At 32.7% G+C, this 15,577-nt stretch overlaps 1 protein-coding gene across 4 annotated transcripts in view, besides 1 other annotated feature; it reads left to right on the top strand.

Moving 5' to 3' along the window:
* Nucleotides 1–15,577, top strand: part of FSTL5 (follistatin like 5) — a 780,104-nt gene that overhangs the window by 213,872 nt on the left and 550,655 nt on the right. The window lies entirely within an intron of this gene.
* Nucleotides 12,688–13,887: an enhancer, noted in NCBI's record as "CDK7 strongly-dependent group 2 enhancer chr4:162857394-162858593 (GRCh37/hg19 assembly coordinates)". NCBI's record gives its function as "activates an origin of replication core promoter dependent on BRD2, BRD4, P300/CBP, MED14 and CDK7 cofactors, with strong dependence on CDK7, by STARR-seq in HCT116 cells {active_cell/tissue: HCT116}" and the evidence as "EXISTENCE:reporter gene assay evidence [ECO:0000049][PMID:35650434]".

The raw sequence follows: 15,577 nt of genomic DNA, 5'->3' as shown, positions 1-15,577 counted from the left end.
AGTCCAGCTCAGAACTATTTCAAAACAGATGTATTGACTCAGAAATTCACATTATTGCCCCAAAAGAAGAATGAGTGTGCCATCACTGAAGATATTATTTATCTTATTAATTTTTAAAAATTTTGAGACATACAAATGAGTCATAAACTGTAACTAATCATCAAGAGACAAAACAATTAATAGAAGCAAATGTAGAAATATCTTAGATTTACCAGATGGAGAATTTTAAATATTTGTAAAAAATATGTTAAAAGATGTAGTAGAAATGAAACAACTTGAGTGGGCAGATGAGGAATTAAAGCAGAGAATTCCAATTATTTTTTAAAAATCCAAATGTAAATGTTAATTTAAAAAAAAAAACTTTTAGCTTGGACTTATCAGAAACATGAACACAAGAGAGAAAAGAATCCCTGAAATTAAATACTGATAAATAAAAATGATGCAAACAAACATATAGAAAAAATATAATAATTACTATAAACAATACGTTTGAAATCTGCAGAACAATAAGAAATGTTCTACCATATGTAAACTGAAGTTCAAAAAGGAGGAAAGAAAGGGGTTGGACCAGAAAAAAATTGAAGACATAATTGCCAAGATTTTTAAAATCTGGTAAAATGCAGTAAACCATTGAATCAAGAAGTTCAGAAAACCCTATACAGAAGAAAATAAAAAAGAAAGCCACACTTAGGTATGTTAAAGTAAAACTAAAGAAAATCAAAGATAAAGAGAAGATTTTTTAAAAGCGTATGGTAGACTTAATAGTAGCTCCCCAAAGATGTTTCTGTCCGAATTCTTACATGACTGAAGGAACTTTGCAGATGTGATTGAGTGAAGGATATGGAAATGGGGAGATTATTCTGGATTATCCAAGTGGGCCCGATGTAATTACAAAGGCCCTTATAAGGGAAAGAGGGAGACAAGAGAATGACAGCCAAAGGAGAAAATGAAAGCGGGAGAAGAACAGAGAGTATTTGAAGGTGCTAAGGAACCACACGCGAAGGAATGCAGGCAGCCTGTGGAAGCTGAAGAAAGGGAAGGAAACAGATTCTCCCCTAGAACCTCCCAGAAGGAACACAGCCCTGCCAATGCCTTGATTTCAATCTAATGAGACCATTTCAGACTTCTAACCTCCAGAGCTGTAGGAGAGTAAATGTGTGCTGTTTTAAGCCATTGCATTTGTGGTAATTTGTCACAGCATCAATGGGAAATTAATACAAGCTGTGAGAGAAAATAGCCACAGGGCATACTGGAAATAATTTTAAAAATCACTAAATTCTTGTCAGAAAGAATGGAAGTCAGAATATGATGGAATAAGGTCTTTTAAAGAATAAATACATTATACATGAATACAAATTCAGTAATTAAATTCTGTTCATCAGGCCAGGCACAGTAGCTCACATCTGTAATCTTAGCACTTTGGGAGGCCAAGGCGGGCGGATCACCTGAGGTCAGGAGTTCAAAACCAGCCTGGACAACATGGTGAAACCCCATCTCTACTAATAATAGAAAAATCAGCTGGGCATGGTGGCGGGTGCCTATAATCCCAGTTACTGAGGAGGCTGAGGCAGGAGAACGGCTTGAACTGCATTCCAGCCTGGGTGACAAAGTGAGACTCTGTCTCCAAAAAAAAAAAAAAAAAAGAAAGAAAAGAAAAAAATTCCGTTCATGTAGAATTCAAAGTGTAGCAAATGTCCCTCAAAAATTGGAAACAAGAGCTGAAAACATTTCTCTCCACCTGACTTGCACTATAAGTATTATTAAAATAACAATAATTTAAAAAGCTGTACAGAGCCAGGATTCATCACTCTTTTTCAGTTTTTTTTTTTTTTTTTTCATTTCTTTAGGTACAGGATCTTGCTCTGTTGCTCATGCTGGCATGCACTGATATGATCACATCTCACTGCAGCCTCAAACTCCCAGGCTCAAGCAATCCTCTAGCTTCAGTTTGTCAAGTAGCTGGGACTATAAGTGCACACAACTACACCCAGCAGCTTTTTTTTTTTAAATTTTCTGTAGAGACAGGGTCTTGCTATGTTGTCCAGGCTGGCCTTGAACTCCTGGACTCAAGCGATTCTGCCACCTTGGCCTCCCAAAGCTCTGGGATTACAGGTGTGAGCCACCATACTCAGCATTCTATTTCTTTCTTGATTAGAAAATAAAATAAGGTAAAATAACATTTAAAATGGCTTTAACATCAAATACCTAAATATAAGAAAAGCTGTTAAAAGGTCTCTCTATGGAAAGCCTAAATAAATAGAAAGACACACCAAATCATGGATTTGAAAACTGAATATTGTTAGGTTGCCCTTTTGTCACAAATTGATTATAAATTTAACTGAATTCCAATGAAAATTCTAGAAGACTTTTTTTGGTAGAGCTTTCAATATGATTCTAAAAAACGTGGAAATTCAACAGATCTCGACTAGCCCAAAGTATTCTGAAAAACATATAATGAAGAAATAAAAGAAAATGATTTAACCCTCATATTATCTGACTCCAAAACTTATAACAAAGCTACAGTAATTAAAAAATAGATATTTATGTGGGAAACAGTATGAGGAATCTGAAAATAAAGCTACACATTCATAACTTTGGGCCAATGCACCAATTAATCACAAGAGAAAAGGAACGTATTTAAAACACATATGTCTGGGGAAGATGATTATAGGGTGAAAAAAGAATTTCAACCTTTCAACTCACTCCATGAATAAAAATTAACTCAAGATGTATCATAGTCTTAAAACATAAAGTGTAGAATCTTAAATCCTCTAGAAAAAGCATATAAAATTAGCTTCACAATTTTGAAATAGGCAGAGAAATCTTACATAGCACACAAAAAGCAACATCAATAAAAAAATAAAAGATAGATAGAACTTTAAAAAATAAAATTTCTGCTCATCAAAATGCTCTATTGAGGAATTTAATAGGCATAGGCAAACCACAAGCAGTAACAGAGTAAGATGCACACACACACACACACACATACACACACACACCCCACAAATATCTGCCAAATGTCTATATAACAAACTTCTAAAATTCAGTATAAAATGATATCAGACCCAATACATCTGGACAAAAAAGACTTGAACTAAAACTTTGAAAAATGAAAATTTAAATGTCAATCATTACATTAAAGGTATTCAATATAATTTTTCATCAGGAAAATTAAAATTAACACAACAGTAAGATACCGTGCCACATCCACTACAGTGGCTAAAATCAAAAGAGATGGCAAGTCTAAGATTTAACAGGTGGCACTCACATGTGGGAGTGTAATATAATAAGCCACTTTAAATAAAAGTTTCAGTTTGACAGTGTATTATAAAATTAACTGTCTTATGACCCAGAAATTCCACTTCGAAGTGTTTACACAAGAATAATGAGAACATACTTCCACAAAAATATGTGTCCATGAATGTTCCTAGCAGCTTTATTCATATTATCCCCATGCAGTAAACAACTGAAGTAATTGTTAACAGGAGAATGGGTAAGCAGATATTGATGTTGTCATGCAATGGAATAATGCTCACCATGAAAAATGAAAGAGCAACCTGAATGATTGCTAGTCACATGATGTTGAATGAAAGGTGACAGGCACAAAAAAATACATATTGTGTGATTGATTTCAATCACACCTGAAGGCATCCTTGATGGCATCCTTCCCCAAAGGCAACACAGTAAGAATAAGAATAATTTATGACTTTCAGTATAATGGCAAACATAATTATACATTATAGATGATGTGGATTTGCTCACTGCTTAACATAACTGAGTAACTTTGTTAAAGTTTCATGTCTTCTGAAGCCATAATAACAGAAGTAGGTGGGAGAAGGACAGCAATTAATGGATACAAAATTAATCACTATGACTCAAAGTTCACAAGGCACCAGACAAGATTGGAGAATGTACAATTTAGAATCATCACTTTTTAAAATGTTAACGAATGAACATATGAGACTGGCTTATAACTACTCTGATAAAGAAATTTGAAATATGGTTACTTTATATTGCATAGGAAAAAATATGTGGTGAGTCAATAAAGAAATCATAGACAAACTTCTTTTTTATTTTTGTGGAAATATATACCATATGTTATTTTATGCAAATGAAAATGCAATATTGTTGGTCAGAACCAGAAGAAGATCATTAGGAAAATTTAAATTATAATTATAATAAGAAAGTTTTGTAAAGACTTCTCATTTTTTATTTGTGCAGATGTATGGGGTACATGATAAACTTTTACATATACATATAAATGTATAGTGATCAACTTGGATATTTAAGGTGTGTATCACCTGAGTACATTTTTTAAGTATAGTTGCCCTACTCTGCTACAACACATTGAATGTATTCCTTCCTTCTTTATTTTTTGAGACAGAATCTTGCTCTGTTGCCCAGGTTGGAGTGCAATGGCACCATCTTGGCTCACTGCAACCTCCACCTTCCAGGTTCAAGCAATTCTCCTGTCTCAACCTTCCCAGTAGCTGGGACTACAAGTGCATGCCACTACGCCCGGCTAATTTTTGTATTTTTAGTAGAGATGGGGTTTTACCATATTGAACAGGCTGGTGTCGAACTCCTGACCTCGTGATCCAACTGCCTCAGCCTCCCAAAGTGCTGGGATTACAGGCGTGAGCCACTGCTCCTGGCCTAGTAATTAATTTTATGTGATCACATTTATTGTAAACCTACATCTTCTTTCATGCTAGCTCAATAAAAGGATCTAGAGAAAATCTATGATAACATGTCAAATCCTTATGTGCCGTCAATCCCTGAATTATTTATAGAGTTCTCAACTATAGCATGCAACATATAACACATGTTTTCACAAAACAACTTTACAAGTTGCAATTAGATCATTGTGGAGCTTAATTCACACACAAAAAAATGATTAGCCTGAAATTTAGTATAAGTAGTATTTGTCTGGGCAGTGGAAGAAGAGAGCAGGAGGAAGAAGTTTTCCTTTTTTGTGGCTGATAGCCAGTGCAAATAAAACTTACATAGAGTTATTATAAGTAGACTGAGATGCTTACCTTTTACCTTTAATTCATCCAGTGTATACTACCTGAGATAATAAAACACTTACTGTATGAATCTTCTGCTGTCATGTATTTTCTGAGATTATGCAATCCTAAAAATTTTCTGTGTAATTTTCCCAAAATGAATATAAAATATAAATATCACTTTATATATTAAAATTATTAAGGGGCCTTTGAATATTATAAACATTCACCTAAATTATTATATTTTAATATAAATCTATAGCTAATTATAAACTTCATATATGAATAACTATTCTAAATACATAAAAACAAACAAAATTATAAATTAAATACTAACCAAACTATAAAGCTAGTAATATCAAAAATTACACCATTGTCTTACCTTAAGAGGTATTATTTTGCTAAAACCAAACAATTACTTTAAATGTATGTATGATACATGTTACTGTGATAAAGATATTGAGTTTAAAATATACATATACATATATATAGCAACTTTTTATAACGTAATTTTCTATCCAATTTCTCTGTACAACTCTATGATAAATAATATTATAGCATAGTCTGACATCATTTGACCTTGCTTGGCTAAAATATATAGTATATTGTTTATGTCTGCTTGTATTCTTTTCTAATTAACCAACAGTTACTCAATTACACTTCACCATTATATTATTTTTATGATGTGAACTATGTTTCACTTTATGAAATAAATTTAAAAATAAAGTTTTAGTCTTTTAAATTTTTTTCTAATTTTTAATTATAAATGTAAAATAGATTTTTTTTATACTGGCAATATATGTTAACATGAATCTGAGGCCAACACAGAAGACCATTGGGAGTTCACATTAGGATGTACCAGTAAAATGATAACTATATTTAAATGCTAGAATCTTCTTGCAAAATAGTAGCATATGTTGTTATCAACAAGCAACTTCTAGCTATAAATACATCCAATTTCAGAATTAAATGCAAGCTGAAGCTAGATAACTCAGCAGAGTTTCGTATCCAGATAGAACTTGGAGGCTGAGCATTGGCATTGCAGAGAAAGGAGTAATTAATTTACACATTAAAAGGTTGGAAATTATTTTAGAACCCTGCAGAAACACGAGCCTTAAATTGATGCTCTACCTATCAAAAGAGAACTAGGAAAACTTTATCCAGCAACTCAAGGCAGTGGAAAAAGGAAGCCAACAATTTGTCTGAGAACTTAATGGAAAGGAAAATAATATATTTACAGAGCAGGTAAAGATACAGTGGTTATGGGCCAGGCGCAGTGGCTCACGCCTGTTATCCTAGCACTTTGGGAGGCCAAGACGGGCAGATCACGAGGTCAGGAGATCGAGACCATGCTGGCTAACACGGTGAAACCCCATCTCTACTAAAAATACAAAAAATTAGCCGGGCATGGTGGTGGGTGCCTGTAGTCCCAGCTACTCGGGAGGCTGAGGCAGGAGAATGGCATGAACCTTGGAGGCGGGGCTTGCAGTGAGCTGAGATTGCACCACTGCACTCCAGCCTGAGCGACAGCAAGACTCCACCTCAAAAAAAAAAAAAAAAAAAAAAAAAAAAAAAAAAAAAGATACAGTGGTTCTGATGTAAAAGTCCAATAAAAAACTTATAGGAGTTCTGAAACACGAGTCAATAATTTATCAGAATTAAATACCAGTCACTTGAGTAATCATTAAAATAACATGAGCAGAATAAATGGAAACAAATTCATAATTAATCATATTATGTTAAAACTACAAAAATAGCCAGAACATCTTAAAACTAATAACAAGTATACTGTTTGTAAGCAAACTTCTTAGCATTGAAACTATCAAAATATAATAATATATTACTATTAGAAAGCTATAATGAAAATTTGGGGTAGTATTGCAGTCTTAATATTTAGTCTTCAAATCCATGAGCATAGGATTTTCTTTCATTTTGATAGGTAATTTGATTTTTTTATACAGTGTTATAATTTTCAATGTACAGGACTTGTACCTTCTCATTTAAATTTATTCCTAGATGTTTTATTCTTTTCCATGCTACTGTAAATGGGATGGTTTTCTTAATTCCATTTCCATTTTGTATTATGTATCACTAGTTTGTAGAAATACAATAGACTTCTCAGTGTCGATAATGTGTTCTGCAGCTTTGCCGAATTGGCTTATTAACACTAATTGATTTTTATGGTTTATTTAGCATTTTGACATATAAGATCATGTCATATGTGAATAATGACAGTTTTACTTCTTCCTTTCCAATTTAAGTGCCTTTTATGCCTTCCCTCTCCCAATTGCTTTGTCTAGATCTTTTAGTGCAGTGTTTGCTGGAACTGGTGAAAAATGGACACCAATGTCTTAGGTAAAAACATTGAGATCAAGAACAAGGATTAAGATTTTGCATCTATATTCATAAAGAATATTGGTCTGCAGGGTTTTTTCCCCCCTGGAATTTGTGTGACAGTTATTCTGGCTTCATAGTATGAGTTAGGGCATATTCTCCTTTTTTCCATTTTTGGAATAGGTTAAGAATTGAGTAATTCTTCCTCATAATTGGTAGATGTAACAGGAGCAATCATGAGCTCCTGGGCTATATTTGATTGGGAGGTCTTTGATTACTGATTTAGTCTCTTTATATGTTATTTCAGTAATCCTTTTTATTTCAGTAAGATTATACTAATGATCCCACTTTATCTTTTGAATTTAATAATTTGAATCTTCTTTTTAATTTTTTCTCTTAGTGAGTCAAGCTAAATTTTTGTCAATTATGTTGATCTTTCCAAAGAACCAACTTGGGTTTAATTGATTTTCTCTATTTTTTTTTTCTATTCTCTGATTTATTACTGTCCTAATCTTTATTATTTCTTTCCATCTACTGGATTTGGTTTTGTTTTGCTTTTTCTAGTTTCTTAAGGTGTATAGTTAGATTATTGATTTGAGATCTTCCTTCTTTTTAATGTAGGCATTTACAGCTATGAGTTCTTAGTCTTCTCTCTCTTCATCTCATAAAATTCAGCATGTTATGCTTTCATTTTCTTTGTCTCTAAGTATTTCCTAATATCTCTTTTGATTTCTTCTTTTAGCCATGATTGTTTAAGAATATGTTGTTAAATTCCTACATTTCTGAATAGTCCAGGTTTTTCTCTTATTTATTTCTATTTTATTTCATTGTTGCTAAGATACCTTGAACTATTTAATTTTTTAATTGAATGTTTTAAAATACAAGTATTGAGATTTGTCTTGTGGCCTAACATATCCTGGGGCATGTTTTCTGTGCACTTGAGAAAAATGCATACTCTGCTGTTTGAGGTGAAGTTTTTCTTATATGTCTATTAGGTCTATTAGGTTTGTAGTGTTTGAAAAGTTCTTTATTTCATAATTATTTTTTATATAGTTGCTTATTCCAGTATTCAAAGTGAGGTATTGAAGTCTGCAACTAGAACTGCAAATTTCTGTCTTCAATGCTGCCAAGGTCCCTTCATGTAGTTTAGGGCTCTGAGATTTGGTGCATATATGTTTGTAAGTATTATGTCTTCTTGGTGAATTGATCCTTTTACCAATATATAATGTTCTTATTTGTCTTCTGTAACAATTTTAGATGTATTGTCTACTTTGTATAATAATCATACAACCATCTCACCTCTCTTTTGGTTATTGCTTACTTACACAGAATGTTTTCTCATATTCTCACTTTCAGCTGATTTTTTACTTCAACCTAAGGCAAACTACTTGTAGATAGCATATAATTGAATCACCATTTTTATCCATTCTGCCAATCCCTTCCTTTTGAATAAGACTTTAATCCATTTAGATTTAAAGTAATTAATGGTAAGGAAGAATATGCTTCTCTATTTTTCATACATCTTACATATTTTTGTTCTTCAGTTTTCTCCATTATTGCCTTATTTTGTGTTCAATTAATGTTTATAGTATACTGTTTTCATTTGCTTCTTGTTTCCTTTTATGTATATTTTTAGATATTTTCTTAGTGCTTCCCCCAGTTTTAAAAATTAAACTCTTACATTTATAACAATTTAGTTGAATTAGTATCATCATAGCCTTAATAGTATACCAAAACACTTTTTCGTACAGCTTCATTCCTCTCCCTTTATGTTGTTTTCACAAATTACATCTTTATATATTGGATGCACATTAATATATATTTAAAATTATTGGGTTTTGCTTTTCATTAAGACATAATGAAAAACAAAAAAGGGAACTACTACTCTCAGTCCAATAATACTGGTTTTGTATTTACCTATGTAGTTGCCTTTATCAGTGTTTTTTGTTTTGTTTTGTTTTGTTTTTTTCATGTTGCTTTGAGTAATTGTCTAGAGTCCTTTCATTTCTGTCACAAAATTTCCCTTTAGCACTTCTTGGAGTGAAGGTCTACTAGCATCAAACTTACACAGCCTTTATCTGAAAATGTTTCCTTTCCAATTTCATTTTCAAAAGGTAGTTTTATCTGATACAGAATTATTGGTGGACATGATTTTTATATCAGCATGTTAAACTTATCTTCCAACTACCTCTGGCCTCTGTGTTTTCTGCTTAAAAATCAGCTGTTATTTGTATTGAAGTTTTTTTTTTTAAATAGGGCAAGTTGTTTCTCTCTGTTTTCAGGATTCTTGCTTTGTAAAAAGTTTCTTTATAATTGGGCTCAGTGCAGATGTTTTTGTGTCCTTCAGAACGTTCATTGGATGTGTAAATTAATGTATTTTATCAAATTTGGGGAGATTTTGCTTGTTATTTTTCAAATATTTTCCTTCTTTTTTTCTCTCTCCTCTTCTGGGACTACTGTTATGCAGATAGCGTATTTTGATGGCATTCCACAGATCTCATAAGGCTTGTTCATTTTTGTCAATTTTTTTAAATTTTTACTCAACAACGTGGATAATTACAATTGACTTACCTTCAAATTTTCTAATTATGTTTTCTGCTTGCTAAAATCTGCTTTTAAAATCCTGAAAATAATTCTCAGTTATTGAAAACTTTATTAGAGGATAGAATTTTTTAGAAATTCTGGCTCTTACAATAACTGGTAATAATTTTCAGCTATTCTAAGAGCCAGAATTTCTGAAATCATGGGCTTATGTCTTCAGCACCACTGCTGAGCTGGGAAAGGGGGAGTGCTAAGGTAAGTAAAAATGTAGCAAAGTTTTTCTACCATTTTTAATTTGCCTTTTTCTTGACTTAGCATTCTCTTAGTTTGTTAGCAGTTTTGACTGTTTTTTGGAGCTATCTAAAGATTATTCTGACAGTTTATGCTTGACTTTTTGGTGTTTCCGTGGTAAGATAGGCTCATGGAGCTACATCCTATACTAATATCACTGATAACATTTTGGACATAGCTTTAAAATAAACATTTTTGATTCACTGTTATCCTCATGTTAGTGCTTGTTCAGTAATTCAGAATGACACCTTATTTCCTGTCAAATGGAACTAAATTGTCTGAATTGGTAATAAGAATTGCTGTACTTTTCCCTTTTGTAACAAAAATCAATTCTTCCTCTACAGTCCTTCTCATTATTTGATCATTTTCAAGCCAGAGTTATGAAGTGTGTCAGCCAGCTTAATGAGCCTGATTGCAAAGTGCACGAGAATCAGCTACAGGTTATCAAGAAGAAAACACTAAAACCACTGCTTAGATAACCTTAAAACAGAAATAAATCTTATTTTAATTATTTGGGACTTAAATAAAAATATTCTAAAGAATGTAATATACAGAGAGTAAAAAGAAAGCTCTTATATTTACAAATATTTCAATATGATTTCAAGTCATAAGTACCATAATATAAGCAAAAATATGCCTTTTAATCATTATATTTTTTGCTCACTGTTCCAATTTAATACATGGAGATATTTTAAAATTATTTATTCTAAGAAAATCAGAGAAGCTTATTTTTTAAATGAATCTTCCTTATTATTGAATGTTTTTACAATTTGCTTGCCAATATAGAAAATAGTGGCATGTAGTACAATGTAGTAATTAAATTATTTTATCAACATCCTTTGCATTTCTTGGATAATGTAACTAATGATATCAGTTAAAACTAGAAAAGTGATATACTATACCCAATGTCATTCTCTTTCTCTGTGACTACATTTTCTTCTAAATATATTTTTATGCTAATTGCCCTTTTAACTGAGGACTAAAGCAACAAATATGATTTTTAAATTATTGATTAATAAGCTAATTAACATTTGATGCTGGAAACCTGTTCCGTGCCTTATGTCACCAATTAAAAAAAATACTTAAGTTTAAGGATAAATTAAGAATAACCAGTTCCCTATACAGAAAAGTTTAAAATAAAGACAATGCTTATTCATAAGAATACAGCTAATAAATTATTAAAAGGATCTTATAACCAAGTGCTCTGACAAAGTAGAAATCAAAGGCAATTATTTCGATATGTAATATACATTCCAATATTTCTTTAGGATGCCAAATTTAATAAACTATGCATTATTTGACCAGTTTATTATTTTTCAGCTTTGGAAATTTTACTATTCCAACCACCCAATTGTATCCATTTTAATTAACCATCATACAAAAAAGATGAAGGTGTACACCAGTGTTTCTTATGACATATTTTTTGCGTAATATTTCTCATAGAAACAATTCTCTGCCCAATTTATGGTATTTTAAAAGAATCATTTTTGCTGGATATCCATATCTACCTATATGTTTATATATAACTTTTAAATGGCATACATCTATAAAACTGTAAAATATTTTAAATTTTAGTGAAATTTGATAATACATTTTTTATTGTTTTTGCATAAAATAAATAAATTAGTGTATGAAGCATTTACTTATGCCCTTATCAAGATCACCAGAGACTCTGCTAGTTACTGATGATACAGTTTTTGAACAAAAAGATGGATCTTTGCTCTCTTGGAACACAGATTTATTGAGTGTCAATAGTAAACAAATATTTAAACTAGTAGCTCTCTAATCACAATTTTTTAGGTGTTATGCAGAGAAAACACAGAGTTCTACAAAAGTACATTGATATTGATGAATGGTGGTGGTGAAAGGGATCTACTTTAATATTAAAGTGATGTAAGGAAGAGTATAAAGGAAAAGTGTAAAGGAAGGTCTGTTAAAAGAGAAGTCATGTAAGATGAGACCTATATGATGAGTGGTAGTTAGACAAAGAAACTGGACATGTTGCTAGAAAGGTGAGATGATGTCAGAGGAAAACCTCATTAGAATATCTGAAAGTTCAGGAATATTTCAATAAGCAGGGCAACTGGCAGGGCTAAATTGTGGACCAGACACCAAAAAGTACAGCACACGTATATGAGGAGGAGAGATGCTGATCTTTGGCTTCTAAGTTTGCCATTGCTTACCTCCAGTGCTGAGGAGCATGCTAAAGCAGAAATACCTCTTTGGGGAGAAAAATGTATTGGTAGCTGACTCAGTATCAGGGCATGAAAAGGAGAGCAAGATTAGGGCCATAATCAGCACAGAGTTCTTTCCCCCAGAATTGTATACTGCTTTATGGCCTTCTAGACTTCCCTGTTGCTGCTGAGAAGTCAGAATCAAATTTAATGCCTAATTCATTTTGTATGATAGAGCATTTTATTTTTCTTTCTGGAGGCTTGTAGCAAATTGTTTTTGTCTTCAATATTTTTAAATGTTACAGTGTGCCATGATATGTGTCTATTCTAATTCATTTTACTGTGCACTGGGTGAACTCTCTCAAGTTGGCAATTCATGTCCTTCAGTTCTGGGAAATATTTTAATAATTTTATTAATTATGTCCTACCATCTGTTTTCCTTCCCTCTCCATCTGGACCTTCTATTATTTGGACTTTGGAATTCTGGAAGTGATGTCTATGTTGTTTTACATTTTTTTCTCCTATCTGTTACATCATTGATTTTTATAAAGTTTCCTTTTGTTTTTATTTCATTTATTGGCTATTATCTCATTTCTCTGAGGATATAAATTACAGGTTTTGTTATGTTGTGTTTTTACAGTATTTTTTAACTGCATTGACTCATTTCACATTGTTTTAATCTGTTTGTTTATTTTGGTCTTATCTTTCATGTTAGAGGGTTTACTCACATGCCTACTTAATGCTGGCTTTTTGTTCTTGATTAAGAAAAGGACATTGAAAATCTGACTTAGAATTTCTGAGCACTGAGTAAGGTTTTTCAACCATCACCTTTCCTGTGAGTGACCTGGGTGAATCATTTTTAGGGAACTCCCAATTTTACATAAAAAGTTCTTCAAAGAAGAATCTGAATAATCTGCCTGATGGCTAAGATTATGGCTTTCAACATTCCTGCCAGAGGCTGGGGTGGAATGCACTGTGGTAGAGGGCTGCTTTTTATGGCATTCAGCTTGCGGTACTCTCCAGATTCCATATGGTTTAGCTGTGTCCTGAAAGAATAAACCTGCAGGTTTCTACCAGGATTGCATAAGGGAGGGGATCTGGCAATTTATTGACTTTGCACATAATTTTCAACAGGCCTCCATATTTTAGTAATCACTGTCATTTTCATTTCCTGCGGTACTTGGTATTGCTAATTTATCTGAGGAAACTGTGTATAAATAAGGTTTGCAGCTTTACCAACCACAAAGTTGGGATTCAGCTTGCTTAGTGCCACTAAGACAGTTCCCACCTATCTATATTCTTACAAGATTCCAATATTTTGTTTGTTTCCTCCAGTTCTCTTCATCCTTGCAGATCTATTTTAAAGTATTTTTAGTTGTCTCAAAGGGTTTAAGAAGATAGCAAAATAATGTTTATATCTTCAATATACCATAGTAAATTAGCAGTTCACTTAAGAGGAAAACATATGTATAGTAGCATATACACATACATACACACACTTAGATTATGTAAATTATGTATATGTGTAGATATATGCAAAAGAACTTTCATTGCTTTCTTTATTCCTACAATTACCTAAATTCACAGCTATTAACAAACTAATCTCTATTCCATTGAAGGAAGCTCTGTATTGGGTAAAATAGTTGATCTCAGCTGAATGCAATCTCTGCCTCCTGGGTTCAAGCGAATCTCATGCCTCAGCCTTTTGAGTAGCTGGGATTACATGCATGATCCAGGCCCAGCTAATGTTTGTATTTTTAGTAGAGACAGGGTTTCACCATGTTGGCCAGGCTGGTCTCGTCCTCCTGACCTCAGGTGACACTCCTGCCTTGGCCTCTTAAAGTGCTGGGATTTCCAGGCATGGGCCACCTCACCTAGCCTGCTTTTGTTTTTAATAAAATGAATAGGAGAAGGTCTTCAATTCTGTGCTTTCTCATTCTGTGCATTTCTCATAAAATGATTTGTGAAGCATGTGTAGATTCATCCTACCATTGGAAACGTAGAGAGGTCAAGGAAGAAAATCTGTTAATTGGGCAGAATGGATACAAGTTGAATATGGGGACCATGAGAAAGAACAAAAAGGACTCTCAGAAGCAATGGAGACATGTGCAAAGGAGGAGGAAAAATTTGATATCCACGAGCTTTAAAAAAACCTTCATATTCTCTAGAAGATTTCCATGAACAGTCCTGCCAAGATGTCCAATTTTTAATTACCTCTCTGTGGTATTTAAAGAGATCTTTGTCTAGGTAGCACTAAATGTCAATCAAATTTTTTATGATGGAAGTGCATTCAATTAACACTAACTTCCTTAGTTCTATGAGGACAGTAATCAGTAAGAAGATGGAACTGAATCAGTATAAATCTATCTTTTCAGAAAGACATCACAGGTGTTTGACCTTTTTGAGCACCCATTGTTGAGGAAAGGCAAAGATTCTGCATCACTGATGTTGTGTACCTAACACAGAGAATAAGTTGGTAATAAATATCCTCTTGAAAGCAAAAATGATAGGAATTACTAGTGTCCAAAGGTTTCTCTCCCTACTGCCTTGGAATCTCATCCTTCTCTTTACTGACCCCTTACAACTGCCCTGCAACACAAGAGCTCTCGTGCTAAATAGAATCATTAACTAGGAACTGGAGCAGTTCTAATTTCCATTACCATACAAGTTTACAGTGAGCACAGGAAATTGCCTAAAATATATGAAATATAGTTATGAGATTTAAAAGTAAATTGCTGGTCATATTTTGTTAAAGTTACATTACATCATCAGTATGCACCATAATTGAACCATCTAGGTTTAAGTAGAGTTTGTGGGCTAACCTGAGAATGTATCATTTTAAGTATTGTTTCAATAATTATTAAATAGCACACAAACTTTGGATTATAACTTCTTTGCAGATTGCCTACTTCTTTGGTTGTTTTTTAGAATGAAATAAAATAATAACAGGGGCATGATATTGATGTTAATGATAGCAGACATTAAGGTGCTGAAAGACACTATTTTATAGTCTGTCATAATGTCTAACATAGCAGTTGTAATGTCTGGCAGACACTATTTTAAGAGATTTGCATACATTGATTTATATCTATGAAATCAGTTCTATTAATATCTCCATTTTACAGATGAGAAAATTAAAGCAAAAAGAAAGAACGAAAAAAAACCCCACAAAATTCTAAAATTACACAGCTAGTTACTGATGGAACCAGGTTTCAAACTCAGGCAATA

The sequence above is a fragment of the Homo sapiens genome, chromosome 4 (assembly GCF_000001405.40).
Source record: "Homo sapiens chromosome 4, GRCh38.p14 Primary Assembly".
Classification (NCBI taxonomy): Eukaryota; Metazoa; Chordata; class Mammalia; order Primates; family Hominidae; genus Homo; species Homo sapiens.
This window is presented reverse-complemented; position numbering and strand designations above follow the sequence as displayed.